The sequence below is a fragment of the Homo sapiens genome, chromosome 19, assembly GCF_000001405.40.
Source record: "Homo sapiens chromosome 19, GRCh38.p14 Primary Assembly".
NCBI classification, from domain to species: domain Eukaryota; kingdom Metazoa; phylum Chordata; class Mammalia; order Primates; family Hominidae; genus Homo; species Homo sapiens.
This window is the reverse complement of record NC_000019.10, coordinates 39,555,944-39,579,876: the sequence shown is the minus strand read 5'-3', so window position 1 is coordinate 39,579,876 and position 23,933 is coordinate 39,555,944. Positions and strand designations below refer to the sequence as shown.

At 39.8% G+C, this 23,933-nt stretch overlaps 2 annotated features.

Moving 5' to 3' along the window:
• Positions 21,202-21,311: an enhancer, noted in NCBI's record as "active region_14625". NCBI's record gives its function as "activates an Ori minimal core promoter by ATAC-STARR-seq in GM12878 lymphoblastoid cells {active_cell/tissue: GM12878}" and the evidence as "EXISTENCE:reporter gene assay evidence [ECO:0000049][PMID:35858748]".
• Positions 23,841-23,900: a silencer, noted in NCBI's record as "silent region_10612". NCBI's record gives its function as "represses an Ori minimal core promoter by ATAC-STARR-seq in GM12878 lymphoblastoid cells {active_cell/tissue: GM12878}" and the evidence as "EXISTENCE:reporter gene assay evidence [ECO:0000049][PMID:35858748]".

Below are 23,933 nucleotides of genomic sequence, written 5' to 3'. Positions count from 1 at the left end.
CCTCAATAAAATACTGGCAAACTGAATCCAGAAACACATCAAAAAGCTTATCCACCACGATCAGTCGGCTTCATCCCTGGGATGCATGGCTGCTTCAACACACACAAATCAATAAATGTAATCCATCACATAAACAGAACCAATGACAAAAACTACGTGATTATCTCAATAGATGCAGAAAAGGCCTCTGATAAAATTCAACACCCCTTCATGCTAAAAATTCTCAATAAACTAGGTATCGATGGAACGTACCTCAAAATAATAAGAGCTATTTATGACAAACCCACAGGCAATATCACACTGAATGGGCAAAAGCTGGAAGTGTTCCCTTGGAAACTGGCACAAGACAAGGATGCCCTCTCTCACCCCTCCTATTCAACATAGTATTGGAAATTCTGGACAGGGCAATCAGGCAAGAGAAAGAAATAAAGTATATTCAAATAGGAAAAGAGGAAGTCAAATTTTCCCTGTTTGCAGATGTCATGATGGTATATTTAGAAAACCCCATTGTCTCAGCCCAAAATCTGCTTAAGCTGATAAGCATCTCTAGCAAAGTCTCAGGATACAAAATCAATGTGCAAAAATCACAAGCATTTCTATACTCCAATGATAGACAGAGAGCCAAATCATGACTGAACTCCCATTCAGAATTGCTACAAAGTGAATAAAGTACTTAGGAATAGAACTTACAAGGGATATGAAAGATCTCTTCAAGGAGAACTACAAACCACTTCTCAAGGAAATAAGAGAGGATAAAAACAAATGGAAAAACTTTCCATGTTCATGGATAGGAATAACAAGTATCATGAAAATGGCCATACTGCCCAAACTAATTTATAGATTCAATGCTATCCCCATCAAGCTACAATTGACTTTCTTCACTATAGCCAAGACAATCCTAAGCAAAAACAAGAAAGCTGGAGTCATCATGCTACCTGACTTCAAACTATACTATAAGGCTACAGAAACCAAATGTCATGGTACTGGTACCAAAACAGATGTATAGACCAATGGAACAAAAGAGAGACCTCAGAAATAACACCACACATCTACAACCATCAGATTTTTGAGAAATCTGACAAAAACAAGCAATGGGGAAAGGATTACATATTTTTTATGATTATTATTTTTATTATTATTATACTTTAAGTTTTAGGGTACATGTGCACATTGTGCAGGTTAGTTACATATGTATACATGTGCCATGCGCACATTTAATAAATGGCGATGGGAAAACTGGCTAGCCATATGCAGAAAAATGAAACTAGACCCCTTTCTTACTCCTTATATGGAAATTAACTCAAGATGGATTAAAGACTTAAATGTAAGACCTAAATCCCAAAAAAAAAAACCCTGGAAGAAAACCTAGGTAATACCCTCAGGACACAGGCATCGGCAAAGACTTCATGACTAAAACACCAAAAGCAATGGCAACAAAACCCAAAATTACAAATGGGATCTAATAAAACTAAAGAGCTTCTGCACAGCAAAAGAAACAATCATCAGAGTGAACAGGCAACCTATACAATGGGGGCAAATTTTTGCAATGTATCCATCTGACAAAGGGCTAATATCAAGAATCTACAAGAAACTTAAACAAATTTACACAAAAAAACCCAAACAATCCCATTAAAAAGTGGGTGAAGGATATAAACAGACACCTCTCAAAAGAAGATATTTATGTGCCCAACAAACATATGAAGAAAAGCTCATCATCACTGGTCATTAGAGAAATGCAAATCAAAATCACGATGAGATACCATCTCACTCCAGTTGGAATGGTGGTCACTAAAAAGTCAGGAAACAATAGATGCTGGATAGGATGTGGAGATTGGAATGCTTTTACACTCTTGGTGGGAGTGTAAGTTTGTTCAATCATTGTGGGAGACAGTGTGGCAGTTCCTCAAGGATCTAGAACCAGAAATAACATTTGACCCAGCAATCTCATTACTGTATGTACCCAAAGAATTATAAATCATTCTACTATAAAGAAACATACACACGTATGTTTATTGCAGCACTGTTCACAATATCAAAGACTTGGAGCCAACCCAAATGATAGACTGGATAAAGAAAATGTGGCACATATACACCAAAGAATACTATGCAGCCATAGAAAAGGATGAGTTAATGTCCTCTGCAGGGACATGGATGAAGCTGGAAACAATCATTCTCAGCAAACTAACACAGGAACAGAAAACCTAACACCGCATGTTCTCTCTCATAAGTGGGAGTTGAACAATGGGAACACATGCACATAGGGAGGGGAACATCACAAACTGGGGCCTTTTGGGGGTTGAAGAACAAGGGGAGAGATAGCTTTCGGAGAAATATCTGATGTAGATGATGGGTTGACGAGTGCAGCAAACCACCATGGCACATGTGTACCTGTGTAACAAACCTGCACGTTCTGCACGTGTATTCCAGAATTTAAAGGATAATAATAATTAAAAATAAATAAATAAATACACAGAGATAAATATACCATAAAGCTGTTTTCAGATACTGGAAAAAAAAACAAAGAAGGCTCTGTGTGTGTGTGTGTGTGTGTGTGTGTGTGTGTGTGTGTGTGTGTGTGTTTTGAGTCAGAGTCCCACTCTTTCACCCAGGCAGGAGTGTAGTGGTGCAATCTTGACTCATTGCAACCCCTGCCTGCTGGGTTCAAGCAATTCTCATGCCTCAGTCTCCTGAGTAGCGGGGATTACAGGCATGTGCTACTATGGCTGGCTAATTTTTGTATTTTTAGTAGACTGGGTTTCACCACGTTTCCTAGGCTGGTCTCAAACTTCTGGACTCACATGATCTGCTCTTCTCGGTTTCCCAAAGTGCTGAGATTACAGGTGTGAGCCACCTTGTCTGGCCCTTGATGGGGCTCTTAAGCAGCTGCTTGCTCAAGTGGAGTCTGCTTCCACTGTGTAAATTGTCTTCAATAAATCTGTGCCCACTCTGTGGCATTTTGTTCAATTTATTTTTCCAATATGCCAAGAACTTGGACAACTCACATTTAGGACACTCTATCTTGTAACATCCGTATAGAAAAAGCACCTCCATGAGAACCAAGAATCAGGTAGGCCCTCGTAGTACCTGTTTTTAACTCTGTATTGCTGAAAGAGGCATTGAAGTGATAAGAAAAAGTGTTGCAACTCCAGTCTTGCATGCCAACTGAGGGAGCACTTAAACCAGCCTTAGCCAAGGGGAATCTTTTATCCCATTGGCTGGAACTTGAATTCCAGCAAATCCTACAGTGCTCTGGGGCTCCAAGTCACTTTGAAAGGTTGTCTAAGGGCTTTCCAAATGGTAAAGAGTTTTATTCAAATGAACATCTGACTATCCTAAATATATATGCACTCAGCACAAAAGCACCCAGATTCATAAAGCAAGTTCTTAGAGACCTTCCAAGAGACTTTGAATAATAGAATTCACAGTAATAGTGAGGGACTCCAACACCCCACTTACAGTATTAGAAAGACCATTGAGGTAGAGAATTAACGAAGACATTCAGAACTTAGACTCAGCACTTGATCCATGGACCCGATAGACTTCTCCAGGACTTTTCACCCAAAAAACAACAGAATATATATTTTTCTCAAAACCACATGGAATATACTCTAAAACTCACCACATAATCAGACATAAAATACTCCTCAACAAATAGAAAAGAATAGAAATGATAGCAATCCTTCTTTCAGATTACAGCTCAATAAAATTAGAAATCAAGACTAAGGAAATCACTCAAAACCATACAATGACATGGAAATGGAATAGCCCTGCTACTAGATGACTTTTGGGTAAATAATGAAATTAAGTCAGAAACTGAGAAGTTTTTTGAAACTGATGAGAACAATGAAACTAGTGAGAAAAATAATACAACATACAAAATCTCTGGGACACAGCTAAGGCAGTATTAAAAGGATTATTTATAGCACTAGATGCTGACATGAAAAAGTTACACGGATCTCAACTTAGCAACATAACATCACACCTAAAAGAACTAGAGAATGCCTACCATGTGACGATTTTGAAAAAATTAATTTTGAAATTAAAAAAGAAGTAGAGAACCAAGAGCATGTCAACCTCAAATTTAGAAGACAAGAAATATAAAAAATCAGAACTAAACCAAAGGAGATCAAGACACAAAAAACCAGTCAAAAATTCAATGATTCCAGGAGTTCATTTTTTTGAAAAAAGTGACAAAATAAACTGCATGCCAGACTAATAAACAAGAAAAGAGAGAAGATTCAAATAAACACAATTGGAAACGACAAAGGGGATATTACCACAGACACTACAAAAATATAAACAACCATCAGGTAGATTATAAACAGTTCTATGCACACAAACTAAAAAATCTACAGAAAATGGATACATTCCCAGATACATACACCTGACCAATACTGAACCAGGAAGAAATTGAATCCCTGAAGAGACCAACAATGAGCTCCAAAACTGAATCAGTAATAAGAAGCCTACCACCCAAAAAAGGCCCAGGGCCAGATGGATTCACAGCTGAATTCTACCAGGTATACAAGGAAGAGCTGGTATCATTCCTACTGGAAGTATTCCAACAAATTGAGGAGGAGAGATACCTGCCTAACTCATTTTGTGAGGCCAGCATTATCTTGATATCAAAACCTGGCAGAGACACAACAACAACAACAAATTTCAGGCAAATATCCTTGATGAAGATCAATAAAAATATCCTCAACAAAATACTGGCAAACTGAATCCAGCAGCACATGAAAAAAGCTTACCCACCATGATCAAGTAGGCTATACCCCTGGCATGCAAGGTTGGTTCAACATATGCCAATCAATAAATTTGATTCATCACATAAACACAGCAAAAGACAGAAATCACATGATTATCTCAATAGATGCAAAAAAGGCTTTCAGTAGAATTCGACACCTTTTCATGTTAAAAACCTCAATCAACTGAGTATTGAAGGAACATACCTCAAAATAATAAGAGTCATCTATGACAAACCTACAGCTAGCATCAGAGTGAATGGGCAAAAGCTCAAAGCATTCCCCTCTAAACTGGCACAAGACAAAGATGCTCTCTCTCACCACTTTTATTTAACATATTAGCGAAGGTCCTGGCCAGAGCAATAGACAAGAGTAAGAAAAAAGGGCATCCAAAGAGGAAGAAAAGAAGTCAAATGATTCTTGTTTGCAGACAACATGATTCTGTATCTAGAAAACCCCATAGTCTCAGCTGAAAAGGCCCTTAAGCTGATAAACAACTTTAGAGAAATCCAGGATACAAAATCAACATACAAAAATCTCTATCATTCTTTCTTACAACAGCTAAGATGAGAGCCAAATAAGTAACACAATCACATTCATGATTGCCACAAAAAGAATAGAATACCTAGAAATACAGCCATCTAGGGAGGTGAAATATCTGTACGATGATAATTACAAAACAGTGCTCAAAGAAATCAGAGATGACACAAAAAAAGGAAAAACATTTCATGTTCATGGATGAGTAGAATCAATATTGTGAAAATGACCATACTGCCAAAAGCAATCTATAAATTCAATGCAATTCCCATCAAAATACCCACCATCATTATTCACAGAACTAGAAAAAAGAATTCTAAAATTTATTTGGAACCAAAAAAGAATCTGCATAGCCAAAGCAAGACTAAGCAAAAAGAATAAATCTGGAGGCATCACATTACCTGATTATAAACTATACTATAAGGCCATAGTCATCAAAACAGCATGGTACTGGTATAAAAATAGGCATATAGACCAATGGAACAGAATAGAAAACCCAAAAATAAACCCAAGTATTTGCAACCAACTGATCTTTGACAAAGGAAATGAAAGCATAAAGTGGAGAATAAGCATAAGTGGATATTTAACAAATGGTGCTGGGATAATTGGCAAGCCACACGTAAGAGAATGAAACTGGATCCTCATCTCTCACCTTATACAAAAATCAACTGAAGATGGATTAAGAACTTAAATCTAAGACCTGAAACTATAAAAATTCTGGAAGATAACATCAGAAAAACCCTTCTAGACATTGGCTTAAGGAAAGATTTTATGACCAAGAACCCAAAAACCAATGCAATAAAAACACAGATAACTAGGTTGTACTTAATTAAACTAAGGAGTTTTTGTATGGTAAAAGAAACAGTCAGCAGAGTAAACAGACAACCCACAGAGTGGGAGAAAATATTCACAATCTGTACATCTAACAGAGGACGAATATCAAGAATCTACAACTAATTTAGACAAACTAGCAAGTAAAAAAACAAACAATCCCATCAAAAAGGGGGCTAAGGACATGAAAAAACAATTCTCAAAAGAAGATATACAAATAAGCAACAAACATATGAAAAAATGCTCAACATCACTAATGATCAGAGAAATGTAAATCAAAAGCACAATGTGCTACTGCTTTACTCCTGCAAGAATGGCCGTAATCAAAAATCAAAAAATAATAGACATTAGACGGGATGAGGTGAAAGGGAACACTTTTACTCTGCTGGTGGGAATGTAAACTAGTACAACCACTATAGAAAACAGTGTGGGATGCCTTAAAGAGCTAAAAGTAGAACTACCATTTGATCCAGCAATCTCACTACTTGGTGTCTACTTGGAGGAAAAGAAGTCATTAACAAAAATGATACTTGCACCCACATGTTTATAGTAGCATAATTCACAATTGCAAATATGTGAAACCAGTGCAAATAACCATCATATAATGAAATACTACTCAGCCATAAAAAGGAATGAGTTAATGGTGTTAACAGCAACCCGGATGGGATTGGAGACCATTATTCTAAGTGAAGTAACTCATTAATTCAAAATGAAACATCATATGTTCTCACTCATAAGTGGGAGCTAAGCGATGAGGATGCAAAGGCATAAAAATGATACAATAGGCTCTGGGGACTTGGGGGGAAAAGGGAGGGAAGGGGATAAGAGATAAAAGGCTACAAATTGGGTTCAGTGTGTACTCCTCGGGTGATGGGTGACCCCAAATCTCACAAATCTCCATTAAGAGAGTTACTCAGGGAACCACATACCACCTGTTCCCCAAAAACCCATGGAAATAAAAAATATATATAAAAAATCACACTGGAGAAAAGCGTATAGGATAAGAGATATCATCATGACCACCTTTGTAAAATACAATTTGCCAGATTCTTCAAGGCAAAAATTCAGAAAAAGAAAACACTGCTCAAAGAAATCTGAGATGAAACAAACAAAAAAACACTCCATGCTCATGGTTAGGAAGAACAAATATCATTTAAAGGACCATAATTCCCAAAGCAATTTGTAGATCCAAAGTGATTCCTGTAAAATTACCAATGACATTATTCAAACAGCTAGGTAAAACTATTTAAAAATTCATCTGGAACAAACAAAAAGCCCAAATGATCAAGGCAATCCCTAAGCAAAAAGAAAAAAACTGGAGACATCGTGCTATTCAACTTCAAACTATACTATGAGGCTACGGTAACCAAAACAGCATAGTATTTGTAGAAAAACAAACACATATGGAACAGAGAGACCACAAAGAAGGCCACAAACCTGGAACCATCTGATCTTCCACAAAGCTGACAAAAACAGGTAATGGGGAAACGACTCCCTATTCAATGAATGGTTCTGCAATAACTGTCTAGCATATGCAGAAGATTGAAACTGGACCCCTTCCTTACACCATTCACAAAAATCAACTTAAGATGGATCAGAGACTGAAACTGAAACGTATTACCCAAAACTATAAAACCCTAGAAGACAACCTAGGCAATGCCATTCTGGATATAGGAATGGGGAAAGAACTCATGATGCAGATGGTGCAAGCTATTGCACCAAAAGCAAAAACTGACGAATGGGATCTAATTAAACTAAAGAGCTTCTGCACAGCAAAGGAAAACTATCAACAGGGTAAACAGGCAACCTACAGAATGGGAGAACATTTTTGCAAACTACACATCAGACAAAAGGCTAACATTCAGCATCTATAAGGAACTTAAGGAATATACAAGAAAAAAACAAACAATTTCATTAAAAAGTGGGCAAGAGATATGAACAGACACTTCCCAAAAGAAGATACACATGTGGCCAACAAGCGTATGTGGAAAAGCTCAACATTTCTGATTATTAGGGAATGCAAATCAAAACAGCAGTGAGATACCATCACATATCAGTCAGAATGGCTATTATTAAAATATCAAAAAGTAATAGATGCTGGCAATGTTGCAGAGAAAAAGGAATGCGTATTCACTATGGTGGGAGTGTAAATTAGTTCAATCATTGTGGAACACAGTGTGACAATTCCTCAAAGACCTAAAAACAGAACTACCAATTGACCTAGCAATCCCGTTACTAGGTATATACACCCAAAGGAATATAAATTGTTCCACCATAAAGACACATGCACGTGTATGTTTGTTGCACATGTATGATTCACAATAGCAAAGACATGGTATCAATATAAATGACCATCAGCGGTAGACTGGAGAAAGAAAAATGTGGTACATATACACCATGGAATACTATGCAGCTATAAAAATAATGAGATCGTGTCTTTTGCTGGAACAAATATGGTGGGTCATACCTGATTCTTGACAGAAGCCAGGATTCACAGAAAATTGGAGGCCATGGTTAAGTATTCACTCTCTATTAAGGCCCAGTAGCAAGGCAAATGCTTTTTCTCAAATGGAGAGAGGTTATCCACAAAGGATGGCATGTCTTTGCTCCACATTTTCCGGATCTGTGCTATGACTCACCTATAGGGACCTGCCAAAGTTTCCAAGAGGATCTCTATCTGCCACTGACACTTCTATCAAGGAGTATAGAGTTCTCAGAGAATAGACAACTCATAGCCTCAGGTCAGTGACTGTGGCTCAGTTTCCATCTGGGGATGAGGGGCAGAGCATATCCCTGCATGAGGGAACAAGAAGCTGAAGCAGTCCTGCAGGGATGAGGCCTGCAGTGTCACCGGGAAGGCTTCTGTCTGTCCTGGGAAAGGTGGGAAGAGATTTGTGTGTGTGTCCTGTGTGTGCCCTATACAGAAGGGACCTGTCCAACATGCTGTGTGCTTTGACCTCAGCAAGGACCCACAGCTGCAGGTTGATTTCCACACCGGGATAGATAAGAAGTCAGACATTGCCTTCCACTTTGGAGTGTACTTTGGCAATTGGGTGGTCATGAACAGCATGTGTGTGGAGCCTGGAAGCATTAAGGAAAATCTGAAGGTATGCCCTTTAAGGATGGCAAACAATTTGACCTGCACATCTCAGAGCTGGACAATGAGTACCAGGTGAGTATCCCAGGGGCTTTCAGTGTTTGACCTCTCTCGGCTCCCAGAGCAGGAGGCAGCTCTCTGTAAGCTGGCCCCAAGAGTCCCTTGGGGCCCATCTCCCATAACTGCTCCTGCTCCAGACTTTTCATCACAGAGCACCCTCTGCTTGCACTGCCATCTTCAGCTATTTTCCCAAATTTGACCAGGATCAAGGTCATCTCACCTGTCATTTCCCCCAACGTGAAGAATCTCCTCTGTTTTTTCCCATAGTGCTCATTTCTAGTGATGATGTTACTTATATATTTTCATTTATCCAAAATGGAGAAAATCTGCATGTAAATAAAATAGTTTCAGTGAGCCCAAAATTTAGTCTTTCCCTCAGTATTGAGCCCCAATTTTATTCCCCAGTACAATAATATTACTGGCTTCTCTACTCAAATTATGGAGATAATCTGTTTACAGAAATATACAGATCTATGTTTTCTTTTCTTTCTGAACAAATGTACTTTAGGAATTGGACTGGACTGGTTGTCAAACACTGTATTTTGCAAAGTCATCTATTCATGGTGCTGCCTCAGTTTTTAAACACTGCATAATATTCCTGTAGAATGGTTATCAAAAATTATTGAATTTGACTCTTTTGATGGACATTTAGGCTGTTTCCAGTATTTTGCTCTCACAAATGATGCTGTATTAAGCTTTCTAATCAACTTTTTTAAATCAAATTCCCAGTAGTTGTATTAAAGAATAATTACAAAGAAATGAAATAACTGGCTCAAAATTGTATGCATTTTAAATATTATAAATTAACATCTGAAAATTGACTGTTTTATAGCTTTAGTAATAAATAATATTTCCAACCTTCCTGATCTTTTCAAATGGGTAAAGCCAAAGGTTAACATTTTGTTCAGATTTCATATGCCTATCAGTTGTTCAAAATAATATATTATGTTTTGCAATACCTATTCTGTTCTTTTTCTCTAAAAACACTTGGATTTCATTCCTTGCTACCTGCTTGGCAGCCCTGGGCAACTCCAAAGAGAAAGTAGGCCATCAGTGGTGAATGGCAGTCACAGTCTGTATAACTGAAAACTATACATTCAATGAACATTGTTGATCACTAACCCTGTGTGAACCCCTGTAGAAGATGCAAGGATTCAAGTTCATGACACAGAGTATGGCATATTCCAGGCTAGAGAAGAGGCTGAGGAAACAGGAACTGTGTGACACAGAGTGGCGGAACTTCCGGACTAATGAGAGGAAACATTGGAAATAAAATGAATGAATGTCTGAAATAGGCACAAAGGTAGTCTGTAGATAGAAGTATGTCTACTGGTTTCTGATGTATAATTGGGAGTTTTCTGGTTGGTTACTATAGGCACTATGGCTGATAGCTTGTTTTGTGGCATGCTGTATTTCTGATGCATTTTTCCTCTTGCAGGTAATGGTAAATGGCAAACAGTGTTACAGCTTTGCCTATCAACTCCCACTATGTTACGTGAAGATGGTGCAAGTGTGGTGGGATGTCTTCCTGACCTCACTGTGTGTCTGTGATTTAGGGTGATGTCCACACTCCCTGCTGTTAAGGAGCAACAGAAACTCCCCATTTCTCCATGACTGTGGTATCCCAGAGCCTGCTAACAGAACGATCTCTCCTCACACCTTCCTCTACACTTGGTCATTAAAACTTCACTAAATTATCCAGGATCTGGTTCTTACTTTAATGGGGAAAAAGACAAAGTGGCACAAGGACACAAGTGAAACAGGCAGTGAGTCACAAGACCACTGGAATGTCTGAGATGACAAAACAAACAACATCCTCTACAGCCCGTACTTTACGTCACACACTCTGAACCAAAATTCTTTCATTTTAGATGACTGATTGCAGTGAAATGTTAGGTACCTGTTTACAAACATACAGGCATAATTGGCTTTGGGGAGAGACTTTGTAATTTGAGGAAAGCTAGGTGAAATATCTTAATTCTTCACTCATCCTAAGAGTGTTTCTTGTGTCTTGAAACTGCCTAGATTTGTGTGAGATGCACTGAAGACACTGAAAGAAAAAGTTGAAATGTTTACATCTGAAGTTTTCAATCCAAGCGATAGAATCACCGTTCAATGATTCCCTTTAAAGAATCCTTTTTTTCCCGAAAGAATTTTCAGATTTTTCCATTTTATGTGGGCAGAATCCTGAGATTTCTCTTTGTAAACAAATGGTCATTGTTTTATATCACAAAATAAGTGGTTTATTGGTGGAATGGACACAATTCATGCACATGAACACAGTAAACAGATTCTGCTTTGCTGCTGTTACTGTTGGTATTGCGGCACAGGCAACCTCCCAACACCTGTTGGCTTAGATCATTTATTCTGATTTCTCCCAGCTTTGTAGGTTTAGTGGACTCAGGTAGGTGACAGATTATGTGGTGGGTGTCTCGATTTCAGAAAGATCTACAGTCAGAGATTTCAGAAGATGCTTCACTCATGTCCAACTCAACACTAGTGTGGCTGAACACCTGGGGGCTGGTTGTTTATTTCCTTTCCTAACTCATCTCCACATTAGTGCCTTGAATTTCCTCAACTCATGATCAATGATTGGCTTCCACCAAAAAAAAGCCTTCCAAAAGTCTCATGAAGAAGGTGCGAGGCATCATAGGCCTTAGCTTTGAAAGGCAGACAGTGTGACTTCTATGGCATTATATTGATCAAACTGTCACACAGAAAGCCCAAACTAAGGGGAGGGAACTACACAAGCTGTGGTTATTTTGACTTGTCATTATCATGGGACATTTTTGAAAATGAGTTCCACTTAGCCCCCACTGGCTCATACACTTCCCACATCCCCAAAACACTTACCTTCTAAATAATCCCAGAAACCAATGCAATAGAGGAACAGACTCAGAGTGAAGTTTATTGTTTTATTATCTAACTCAGGACCTGGTGTTCCTGAGGTGAGTACAAATTATCAGGTGCACTTTCTCACAACATGTTCACTAAAGGAATAAATTATCTGCCCTATACAAATCAAACACACAATACTGAAACGAACATAGGAAAAATGCAATGAACATATTTATTTTATAGTGTCAACAGAAAATAGACAGTAGTCACTGGTTTATGTCATTGCTGAAACCAGCCAGATGCCTAAATTCTTTTCTTCTGGGAATGTTTGTCTGCAGCAATTGGCTCCACCCTCCATTCTCAACTTCTCAGAATTCCCACCAAGATGGCAGAATCACAGTCCTATTCCCTCTACAAGAGCTATGATTATCTGCTTCACTGAACATCTGGAGAACCACTTAGGAGAAACAACGTATTGCCTAAAAACTAGTGAATTCAAATTGGTGAGGGTTCCACCAAATGGCCTCTCTTCCACCGGGCTCATCTCAGGCATCATTTTGATCCTCCACATCCTCTCTCCCCATGTTCATTGCAATAGCTCTTTCAACTTCAACCCTACTCATGGGTATGATTCTCTCCTTACTCATCTTTAACCTAACATCCAGATACCTTGAGGTGCCAATGCACAGCTAATCATGCTCTGCACACCTTTCTCCCTCATTCCATTCCTGTATGGAATAAAATTCCCTCCTCTCTCACTGGAATCTCTTGGGTTTTCAATAGGTACACTCTTCTTTGTACACCTTCCCTTTCTCAGTCTAGGTAACTTTTATATTTTGATAATGGATCATAGGCCCCTTCACTAGCATGGAATTAATTTCTTCTGGAATTAAGCAATTCTTGCTCTGAGTAGATTAAAATTATCCTGGGACCCATGGCTTGCTGAGCAGAAAATGCCTTTGATTTCATATCGACTTGCCCCTTGGCTGGTGGCTATTGCATTTGAATAACCTACACAGTCCTACGTGTTGGCTTTTCTATACAAGCACACGGTGACTGCCCTTTCTTGAATGATATTCATCAGCTCAGTTGAGTGCTTTGTCCATTGGTTACGCTCATCTTTATCTCAGATACTACTCTGTGCTCATAGTGGGCAGGAATCATGCCTCAGATACAAAGAGACAACATAGAGTTCAGGAACCAGTGTTCAACAAACGGTATTTGAATTGGCTCTGGTGACCCACTCCAAAACTTTCTCTCCCCTCCTCAATCAAAATTCCTGATGTTCTCCCAGCAAATAGGGCTTTGCTCAAAAAACAAAAAGTCATTTCTGAACTCTAAAGCCTTCCTTTCTAAAAGGTCTTTAAATCTTTCCAGTTATTGCTGAAGACCCCCCAAAAATAAATCTACTCTGTGACACTTTTAACCTTGATGCCCAAGTCCCCTAAAGTGGTTTTTAAAAATAAACCTCGGTGGCACTGTTCATGGTGCTGAACATCGGTGCATCTATTTGCAAGTGAGGGGCCAAGAAGACAGAGTAAGAAAGAGGTGTTGTTTCGTTTTTGATGAATTATAGCTCCAAATCTCTATAACAGATGCAGCCAGAATTCACTTTGGATTTTCAGACCAAAATTTATTATTCATTTTGCTAGCATGAGTTTTAATGCTACAGAGTTTAAGATAGGAGAAAAACTCAATTTTTGTTAGTAGTCCATATATGGGTCACAAAATAATTATTAAAATCTTATTATTTCCCCCTAAATAGACACAACATAACCTTGGGTGTAATTCAATAAGAGGTGGAAATTATTCTGAATATTAAAATACTTGTATGTTCTATCTATATGGAGAGGAGGTAAGAATTAAACAAAAGTGGCAAACAGTATCAAAAACAAAAGAGATATGCCACAACATGCTTTTGCTGCCACATTAATAGGTTATTTTTAGGGAGCACAGAATGAGTTAAGAAGTTCTTGGAAGTATCCTAGAGGCTAGGTTTCTATTAGAAAAACCTGGATGCCAATGTAAAAGATTTACACTTTGTTCTGAAGACATCTTTGAGTCTTGGGAAGCTCAAAAAAGAGGAAAGTGCGTTAATCATCTTTTGACAACATAAGCTAACTGTTAAATGGAATAAAGAGTGAATACTAAGTGTCTATCACTCATGAAAATTCAATGTGAATTTCTATTCAGTGTGGAGAGAAACATTGATGAGGGAGTTGGGGGGTGTCAACTTCATGGGACCAGGCACAGAGAGGATGTTCAACATATGTGTGTGTGAAGAGAATACAGAAATGATTGTGTGAGCAAATGTGCCCAGTTATAGCTGGAGGAAGTGAGAAGACATCGTTTCTTCTGGATTTTTGTGATATTTCCTTCATCTCCCTTTGTGGCTGCTATAGTCTGAATCTGTGCCGCAAAGTTCATGTGTTAAAAATGTAATATCCAATCCACGTGTTTTGAGGTGGGGTGTAATAAGAGGTGATTATGTCATAAGGGCTCTGCATTATTAGATCAATGTCATTTTTACTGAATTGGGTTAGTTATTGTGAGAGTAAGTTTATTATAAAAGCAAGTTTGGCCCTATCTTGCTCTCTTGATCTCACTCCTTGTCATTCCTCCTTCTACTATGAGATGATGCAAAACAAAGGCCCTGGACAGATGCCAACAGTATGTTCCTGGATATTCCAGCCTCCAGAATTGTGCCAAATAAATTACTATTTGTTATAAATTAGTCAGTCGGTTCCAGCAGCAAAACAGGCTGCACATAGATGGAAGTGAAGGACTGACTCGGGCCAGGAAGACAGAAATTATTTTTATAAGCAGCATTTTTGCAAGGTGGTCCAGCCTACAACAGGCACTCACCTTCTGCTCAGCATTGAATGTTTTGAGGCTAGTGAACTAGAGGGAACTGAAAACAGAATCTAAGCTTCACTCAATGACTCTGTGTTGGTGACAACAAAAAGTGTAGTATGGGGGGTGTGAGTTGAGATGGGAGTCATGCCATGGGAAGAAAGAGACCAAGAAGTGTTTCCTGGACACTGAGAAGTGTCTTCTATCTCATGGTGACCTATTCCCCAGCACAGCTGATTAGGGCATGTGTCTTTACTTCTCAAGATATAGGCATAATGATGAGGAATAGTATTTATATGACTCCTGAAAAAATAACAAAGACAAATCCAAGATGTGTAAAGCCTAAAAGTGACTTTGCCAGTGCCTGTTTTATTGTGTCCCAAATATAACCACTTTAAAACTACAGTAATCAAAACAATGTGGTGCTGGCTTAAGGACAGACTTAGAAATCAATCAAATATAAAGGATAGCCAAAAAGTAAACATGCACATAGGTGGTCAGTTGAGATTCAATAAATGTGCCAGGACACCCTTTTGGGAAAGGACCCTCATTTCAACCAGTGATTTTGGGGAAACTGGATATACACATGCATGAGGATGTAGTTGGGACCTTACCATAAGCCACATACAAGAATTAACTCAAAATGTATCAAACAATAAATGTAAGACCTAGAATTTTAATATTTTTAGAAAAAACATCGAAGAATATTTCATGACATAGGATCTTAAAACGATTTCTTGGATATGATTCCAAAAGCACAAGAAACAAAAGAAAAAACAGATAAACTGGATTTCATCAAAATTTAAATTGGGGAGACCTTGCAACATGGCACAATAGAGTGCTCCACCAATCTTACCCCCACGCCTCAAGGACATAAATTTAACAAGTATCTACACAAGAAAAACACCTTCATAAAAACCAAAAGCAGGTGAATCCTCATAGATACCTGGTTTTAACTCTATATCACTGAAGAGATAGAAAAAAACGTCTTGAATTGCCAATGCCAGTCCTTCATCCAGGCAGCAGGAATGTGGTACAGAGTCTCTGGGTACTGGGGTACTGGAGGGAGGAGAGCACAGCAATTGTGAGGTATTGAAGTCATTGCTGTCCTGTTACAGAAGAAAGGCAAATTGGATCAAACTCAGCTGACACACACCAATGGAGGGAGCATTTAAGCCAGGCTTAGCCAGAGGAAAATCCCTGATCCCAGCGGTTGAAACTTGAGTTCCTGCAAACCTTGCCAGTGAGAGCTACGGTACTCTGGTTTTTCAAGTAAGCTTAAAAGGCAGTCTAGGCCATAAGGCCAGAAATTCTTAGGTGAGTCATGGGGTTGAACTGGGCCCAGAGACAATGGACTGGTGAAGAGGGGGTCAGGTGACTTACTGAGACAGCAGCTTTGGTGACTAATGGAGTGCTGGCTTTACCCCTCACTTAACTCCAGGATGCACAGTCTGTGGCTCTAAAAGAGACCCCTTCCTTTCACTTGAGGAGAGGAGAGTTATCACCTGCTAATGGTATCAGCAATACCCAGGTACTATGCTGAGGGTCTTGGATGAGCTTCTAAGATCTGCTGGCTTCAGATGGGACACAGCACATTACCAGTTGTGGTGGCTATGAGGAAAAACTCTTTCTGCTTGGTAAAAGCAGAGAAAAAAGCAAAAGGGACTTCATCTTGCACCTTAGGTACCTGCATGGCCACAAGGGAGTAGAGCACCAAGCAGGCTCTTGGGACCCCTAATTCAGGGACTTGGTTCTTGGATGACATCTATTTACCTGCTTTGGGCCAGACGGAGTTCATTGCCCTGTGGAATGAGTCCTGGGCCTGGCAGCATTCACTATGAGTTGACTTAAGAGACTGTGGGCCTTAAGGAAACATCTGTGGTAGTCTGGCCATACTCTTCATTGTGGCAATGGTTATGGGGTGACCACTGCCTTTGGAAAGAGGAGTGTGGGAAGAACTGCATCTTGTGGTTTGAGTGCCAGCTCTGCTGCAGTAAAATAAAAGCACCATACAGACTTCTAAGGTTTTTGACTTTAGTCCCCAACTTTCAGGTGGCACCTCTGGACCCACCCAAGGCCTAGGGGAACTCACCGCCCTGAAGGAATGCACACAGACCTGGCTTGCTCTGCCATCTGCTGCTTCCAGAGTCCCAGGGCCTTGAGTGAACTTAGGTTGCAACCAGGGAGTGGATACAGAAGGCCTTCAGTGAGATCCAGTGCTATACTGGATTCAGGTCTGACCCAGTCATAGTGGTGGTGACCACAACGGTGCTTTTATTAGTCTATCCCCAGCTTTAGGTGTCTCAAAACACACACACACACACACACACACACACACACACACACACTGTTTTTTTGGGGGGAGAAAGAAAGGGAAAAGGGCAAAAGTCTCCGCATTGTAATCCAGAGAATTATCCTGGAACTTGTCCAAGATCATCAAGGTGGTAACTGTATGAGTCTGCAAGAATCACAACATTACTGGTTTTTAGTTCACCCCAAAGGAGATACAGCTTAAATCAAAACATTCAAGTGTTTGGAATATCTGGTATGCCTTCAAAAAAAGGACAGGTACAAATAAGCCTAGACAGTGAAGACCACTCTAAATACCTAATTACTCAATGATCAGACACTGAAGAACATCTGCTAGTGTCAACACTATCCAGGAAAGCATGATCTCCCCAAATAAACTAAATAAGCACCAGGGAGAAGCAGAGACCTTTCAGACAGGAAATTTAATTTAGCAGTGTTAAGAAAACTCAAATAAATTCAAGATAACACAGAGAAGGAATTCAGAATTTTATTAGATAAGTTAACCGAAAAGTTTAAAATAATTAAAAGGACTCAAACAATAGTTCTGGAGCTGAGAAATGGAGCCATAAAAAGGAATGATATCGTGCCCTTTGCAGGGACATGGATGAAGCTCAAAGCCATCATCCTCAGCAAACTAACATAGGAACAGAAAACCAAACACTGCACGTTCTCACTCATAAATGGGAGCTGAACAGTTAGAACACACAGACACGGAGAGGGAAACAATACACACTGGGGCCTGTTGGTGGGGGCAAAGAGAGGGAGAGCATCAAGACAAACAGCTAATACATGTGGAGCTTAATACATAGGTGACAGGTTCATAGGTGCAACAAACCACAATGGCACATGTTTACCTATGAAACAAACCTGCATGTTCTGCACATGTATCCCAGAACATAAAGCAAAATAAAATACAAAAATGCAATTGGCATACTGAATAATGCATCAGTCTTTTAACAGCAGAATTGATCAAGCAGAAGAAAATATTAGTGAGCTTGAAGACAGGCTATTTGAAACACACAGCCAGAGGAGACAAAAGAAGAAGGAGTAAAAAACAATGAAGCCATGAAACATGGCTATAGGATCTAGAAAAATAGCTTCAAAAAGGCAAACCTAAGAGTTACTGGCCTTAAAGAAAAAGTAGAGAAAGAAATAGTGGTAGAAAGTTTATTTAAAAGAATAATAACAGAGAACTTCCCAAACCTGGAAAAGGAGATCAATATCCAAGTACAAGCAGGTTATAGAACACCAAGACAATTTAACCCAAAGAAGACTAATTCAAGCTACTTAATAATCAAACTTTCAAAGGTCAAGAGCAAAGAAAAAATCCTGCAAGCCCCAAAGAAAAAAAATAGCATACAATGCAGCTGCAATACACCTGGCAGCAGATTTTTTAGTGGAAACACACACAATATTATAACACTGTAACCGTGATGTGTAAACTACTCATTTCCTAAATAGAAAGACTAAACAATGAACCAATAATAATAATAATAACTGCAACTTTTGAAGATATACACAGTAAAATAAGATATAGGCAGAAATAACTAAAAGTTAAAAGGCGGGGGGATGAAGTTAAAGTATAGAGTTTCTATAAGTTTTCTTGTTGCTTGTTTTTTTTAAGTAAAGGGTGTTAAGTAGCTATCATGTTAAAATAATGGGTTATAAAATAGTATTTGCAAGCCTCATGGTCACCTTGAACCAGAAAACATACAATGGATTCACAAAAAAAAACACAAACCATAAAAAGCAAGAAACTAAATTGTATCGCCAGACAAAATTATCTTCAGTAAGGAAAGATAGTAAGAAACAAAGGAAGAGAAGACCAAAATACAGCTAGAAATCAAACACCAAAATGGCAGGACTAAGTCTTTACTTAATTATCAATGAAAACATTGAATGAAAATGGACTAGACTCTCCAATCAAAACACATAGAGTGGCTGAATGGATGAAAAAACAAAAACAATTGATCTGTTGCCTACATGAAACACACTTCACCTATAAAGGCACACATATACCGAAGATAAAGAAATAGAAAAAGATGTTCCATGCTAATAGAAATGAAACAAAACAGGTGTAGCTATATTTATATTGGACAAAATATATTTTGAGACAAAAACTCTAAGCAGAGACAATAAAGTCAATATATAATGAATAAGACATCAACTCAGCAAGAAGATATAACAGTTTTAAATATATGTGCACCAAAGAGTGGAGCACCCAGGTATATAAAGGAAATATTATTAGAACTAAAGAGAGAGATAGGCCCCAATACAATAATAGCTGGAGATTTCTATGTTTCATTTTCAGCATTGGACAGGTCTTCCAGACAATACAAACAAAGAACGTTAATCCCTACTATAGAAGAAATGGATTTAATAGATACTTACAGAATATTTCATCCAATGTGATCATGTTTTCATCTCATAAAATCGTCTATGCTTCTTTCTCGGTTTATGTGACTTGAGGTTATTGAAGGCCGTGCCTTTCAACTTACACATAGCGGTGACATTGTTTTCTCCCACTGGACAGCTCTTCGGAATAGTGTCCGGTCTTCTATGTGAATGTCTGAGTTGCAGCACTTACATGGTCCCTGTTGGTCCTGACCTCTGGCTTTATTCCTGTTTTTTTTTTCTTTGTTTGTTTGTTTGTTTTTGAGATGGAGTCTCTCTCTGTCACCAGGCTGGAGTGCAGTGGCCCGATCTCGGCTCACTGTAGCCTCCGCTCCTCCCAGGTTCATCTCCTGCCTCAGCATCCCGAGTAGCTGGCACTACAGGCACATGCCAGCAGGCCCAGCTAATTTTTGTATTTTTAGTAGAGACGGGGTTTCACCATGTTGGCTAGGATTGTCTCGATCTCTTGACCTCGTGATCCACCTGCCTTGGCCTACCAAAGTGCTGGGATTACAGGTGTGAGCCACCACACCCAGCCTTATTCCTGTTTCCAAGCCCTTCCTAGCAAGATTTCCCAGCAGTGTGAGCAGGGGGTGACAGGAAGAGACTCAGTTTCTGTTTGCAGGCCTGTGACTGTGATGCAGCAGAAATGACAGTGAGGAATGTGCCAGGGGCAGGGAATCACCAGGAAAATGCACAGATGGAAATGATGGAATGAGGATGAGGAGCTGTGCAGCCCAGCTTCCTGGACTTCACTTCCACCTCAGTCTACGTTGTGCTGCTATAACAGACTCCATGATTTATCACAAACAGAAATGTATTTGGCATGCCTGTCATGAAGCCATGTCATTGTGTATCCTGATCAAAGGGTTTGCCTTCTATTTATCTCTGACCAAGACTTACGCTCTGAAAAGTACTGACTGCCCTGTCCATTATTTGAGGCTTCAGCCCCTCCTCTGTGACACGACTTCTCCCATTAAGTCAGGAAGGAGGATAGGAGGAGGGCATGGTCATGTGGGTGCACCCTTTAAATGAGGAAATTGGTCTTTGCTAAATCTGGGTCTCAGCATTTCCAGAAATGAAATGGTTCACCCCCCATTCCTGAACTGAGGGCGAAGAGCATATGAGCTTCCCTCTTCTTTTTCCTGGTTGAGTGGAGGGACCTGTGAGTTTTGGGGTCCAGGTAGAAGGAAGAGAGTCCCCATGAGATCCCTACTCTGCTTTCAGTATAGACCATGACTCCCACTCAGCCCTGCTCAGCTCCGACACAGCCCCTCCCACCCTGCTACTCTCTCAGTTATTCATGCCCCAAATCCCCTCTCTCAGTCCAGAAACCTCCATGCCGTCCATTATCCTCCTCTTTCCCTCACACGCTTTCTCACACCTGTGGAAAGTCCTATGGTTCTACTTTCGTAAGCCAACCACGGATAGAGTGACTCTGATTTCCTGCCAGTTCACCTAGGGCAGGCCATTGTGTGTCTACTCTGAGTGTCTTGCTAACTGCTTCCTCAGTAAGTGTCCTTCCTATCACTTCTGTCTGAAATACTAATGAGATAGTATGCATCAGAATCCAGCAATAAATTACAAAATTATTTTCCTCTGTACCATGGATTTCTTGAAAATCTATTTCTATCTTTAGTGAGATCACAAGTTCAGCCAGAACTATCTAAAAGTGAAAGTGCTGCAGAGCACCTGTCACGTCACCTTTCACGGTTGTGTGTTCTATGCAACCTGACACTGAGTGAATAACCTCAAGATGGATGTGGGGACTGAAGTCCCCAAGTCCCCTCTCTCAGGTCAGAAACCTCCACACCATCCCTGATCCTCCTCTTTCCATCACACACTTTCTCACACCTACGGAAAGTCCTAGGCTCTACTTTCATAAAAAATCAACGATCAAGCAACTCTTATTTCCCACCAGTTCACTTAGGGCAGGCCATTGTGTATCTACTCTGAGTGGCTTGCTAACTGCTCCCTCAATAAACAAGTGTCTTTTCTATCACTTTCATCTGAAATACTGACAAGATAGCATGCATCAGAATTCAGCACAAATTACAAAATCATTTTCCTCTAAACCATGGATTTCTTGAAAATCATAACTAGCAGTGAAAAGGAAACAAAATCCTATTTGTATTTAGGTTGCAAGTTCAGCCAGAGCTATCTGAAAGTGAAAGTACTGCAGAGTATCTGTCAAGTCACATTTCATGGTTGTGTGTCTTTTGCAACCTGACACTGACCAAATAGCCTCAGGATGGAAGTGGGGACTCACTGGGCAGAGAGATCAGGCTTACACAGGTCCTGAAGGCACAAGAAAGCTGCAGGAGGAAGGGTCCAAATGTCCATAGCCCCTACTCCTGCCCCGTTACCTTCTCCCCACAGCCTGCACCTACAGCCTCAGGGGGAGTCTGGCTTATTTCACTTAGCATGTTTTAAAGACTCATTCACGTGATAGCAAGCGTCAAAATGTCATCCACTTTTAAGGCTAATAATCTTCCATCGTACGTATATCTGTAGATGGAAATTGGGGTTGTTTCCATCTCTTGCCTGTTGTGAATCATGCTGCTATGAACATTGCTGTGCAAATATCAGCGTGAGTCTCTTTCTTCAATTCTTTAGGGTGTATACTCAGAAGTGCTGTTGCTGGATCACATGGTGACCTTTTTGAGGAACTGCCATATAGTTTTCCACAGCAGCTGCACCATTTTACACTCCCAACAGCAACATTCAAGGGTTACAGTATCTCTACATCCTCACAACACTTGTGATTTTGCATCTTAAAATAACAGCCATCCTAGGGAGAGTGAAGTGCTATCTCACTATGGCTTTGATTCTGCATTTCCCTAATGACTCTGAAGTTGAGTATATTTTCATGTGCTTATTGGCCACTTTTATATCTGTTCTGGAGACATGTCTGTTGAAGTTATTTGGTCACTGTTAAATCGGGAGAGTATTTGTGCCATTGTTGTTGGATTGTAGAAGGTCTCTATTCTAGATAATAATCTCTTATCAGATATCTGATCTGCAAATTATCTTCCATTCTGTGAGTTGACTGTTTACTTTTTCCAGAATGGCCTTTGATGAAGTTTTCAGTTTTGAGGGAGTCCAGTTTATCTGTTTTTTCCTTTGTTACTTGTGCTTTTGGAGTCATCCCCAAGAAATCATTGCCAAATTTCATGTCATGAAGATATGCGTCTATGTTTTTTTCAAAGAATTTTATCGTTGTAGGTCTTACATGTATTCTGTGATACATTCTGAGTTAATTTTTGTATATGTTATAAGATAAAGGCCCCAACCATATTATTTTGCATGTGTAAGTCCAGTTTTCCCAGCATCATGTGTTGAAAAGACTGTCCTTTCCCAGTGAGATGGTCTTGGCCTACTGTGGACTCTCACATGAATGTGTATGTGAGTGTTTATTTCTGGGCTCCCTATTATATTCCATTGGTATATGTGCCTCTCCTTAAGCAAGCACCACACTGTTATAATAGCTTTGTAAAGGGGTCAAGTGTTGGACACAATAAAATAGGCACTTCTAGGCCAGGCGTGGTGGCTCACGTCTATAATCCCAGCACTTTGGGAGGCCGAGGTGGGCGGATCACCTGAGGTCGGGAGTTCAAGACCAGCCTGGCCAACATGGAGAAACCCTGTCTCTACTAAAAATACAAAATTAGCCAGGTGTGGTGGTGCATGCCTGTAATCCCAGCTACTTAGGAGGCTGAGGCAGGAGAGTTGCTTGAATCCGGGAGGTGGAGGTTGCGGTTAGGTGAGATCGCACCATTGCACTCCAGCCTGGGCAACAAGACCAAAACTCCATCTGAAAATAAATAAATAAATAAAGGCACTTCCAAAGTCATTTCTGGAGGTTACATATCTTGGGTTTGACTTTTTTTTTCTCCAGGACCTACATGGGCACTATTTCTTATCACTGTGCCTGTATCTTGAGAGGTAGAGGGACCCATGCACTGGTCAGCTGTGCTGGTAAAGAGGCCACCATGAGATAGAAGACACTCCTCAGTGCCCAGGAAACACTTCTTGGTCTACTTCTTCCCATGGCACAATGCCATCTCACAGCCACCACCCTATACTCGTCTTTCTGCTGTCACCAACACAGAGGCAGCCAGTGAAGCCTGGATTCTGTTCTCAGTTCCTCCTGGTTCACTTGCCTCAGCATATTCAGGCACTGGGCTGGAGGTAAGCCCCTGGTAGGGTCTGGGTCAACTTGTAGAATTTCTCCCTATACCAGTGATTTCTGTCCTCCAGGCCTGCAA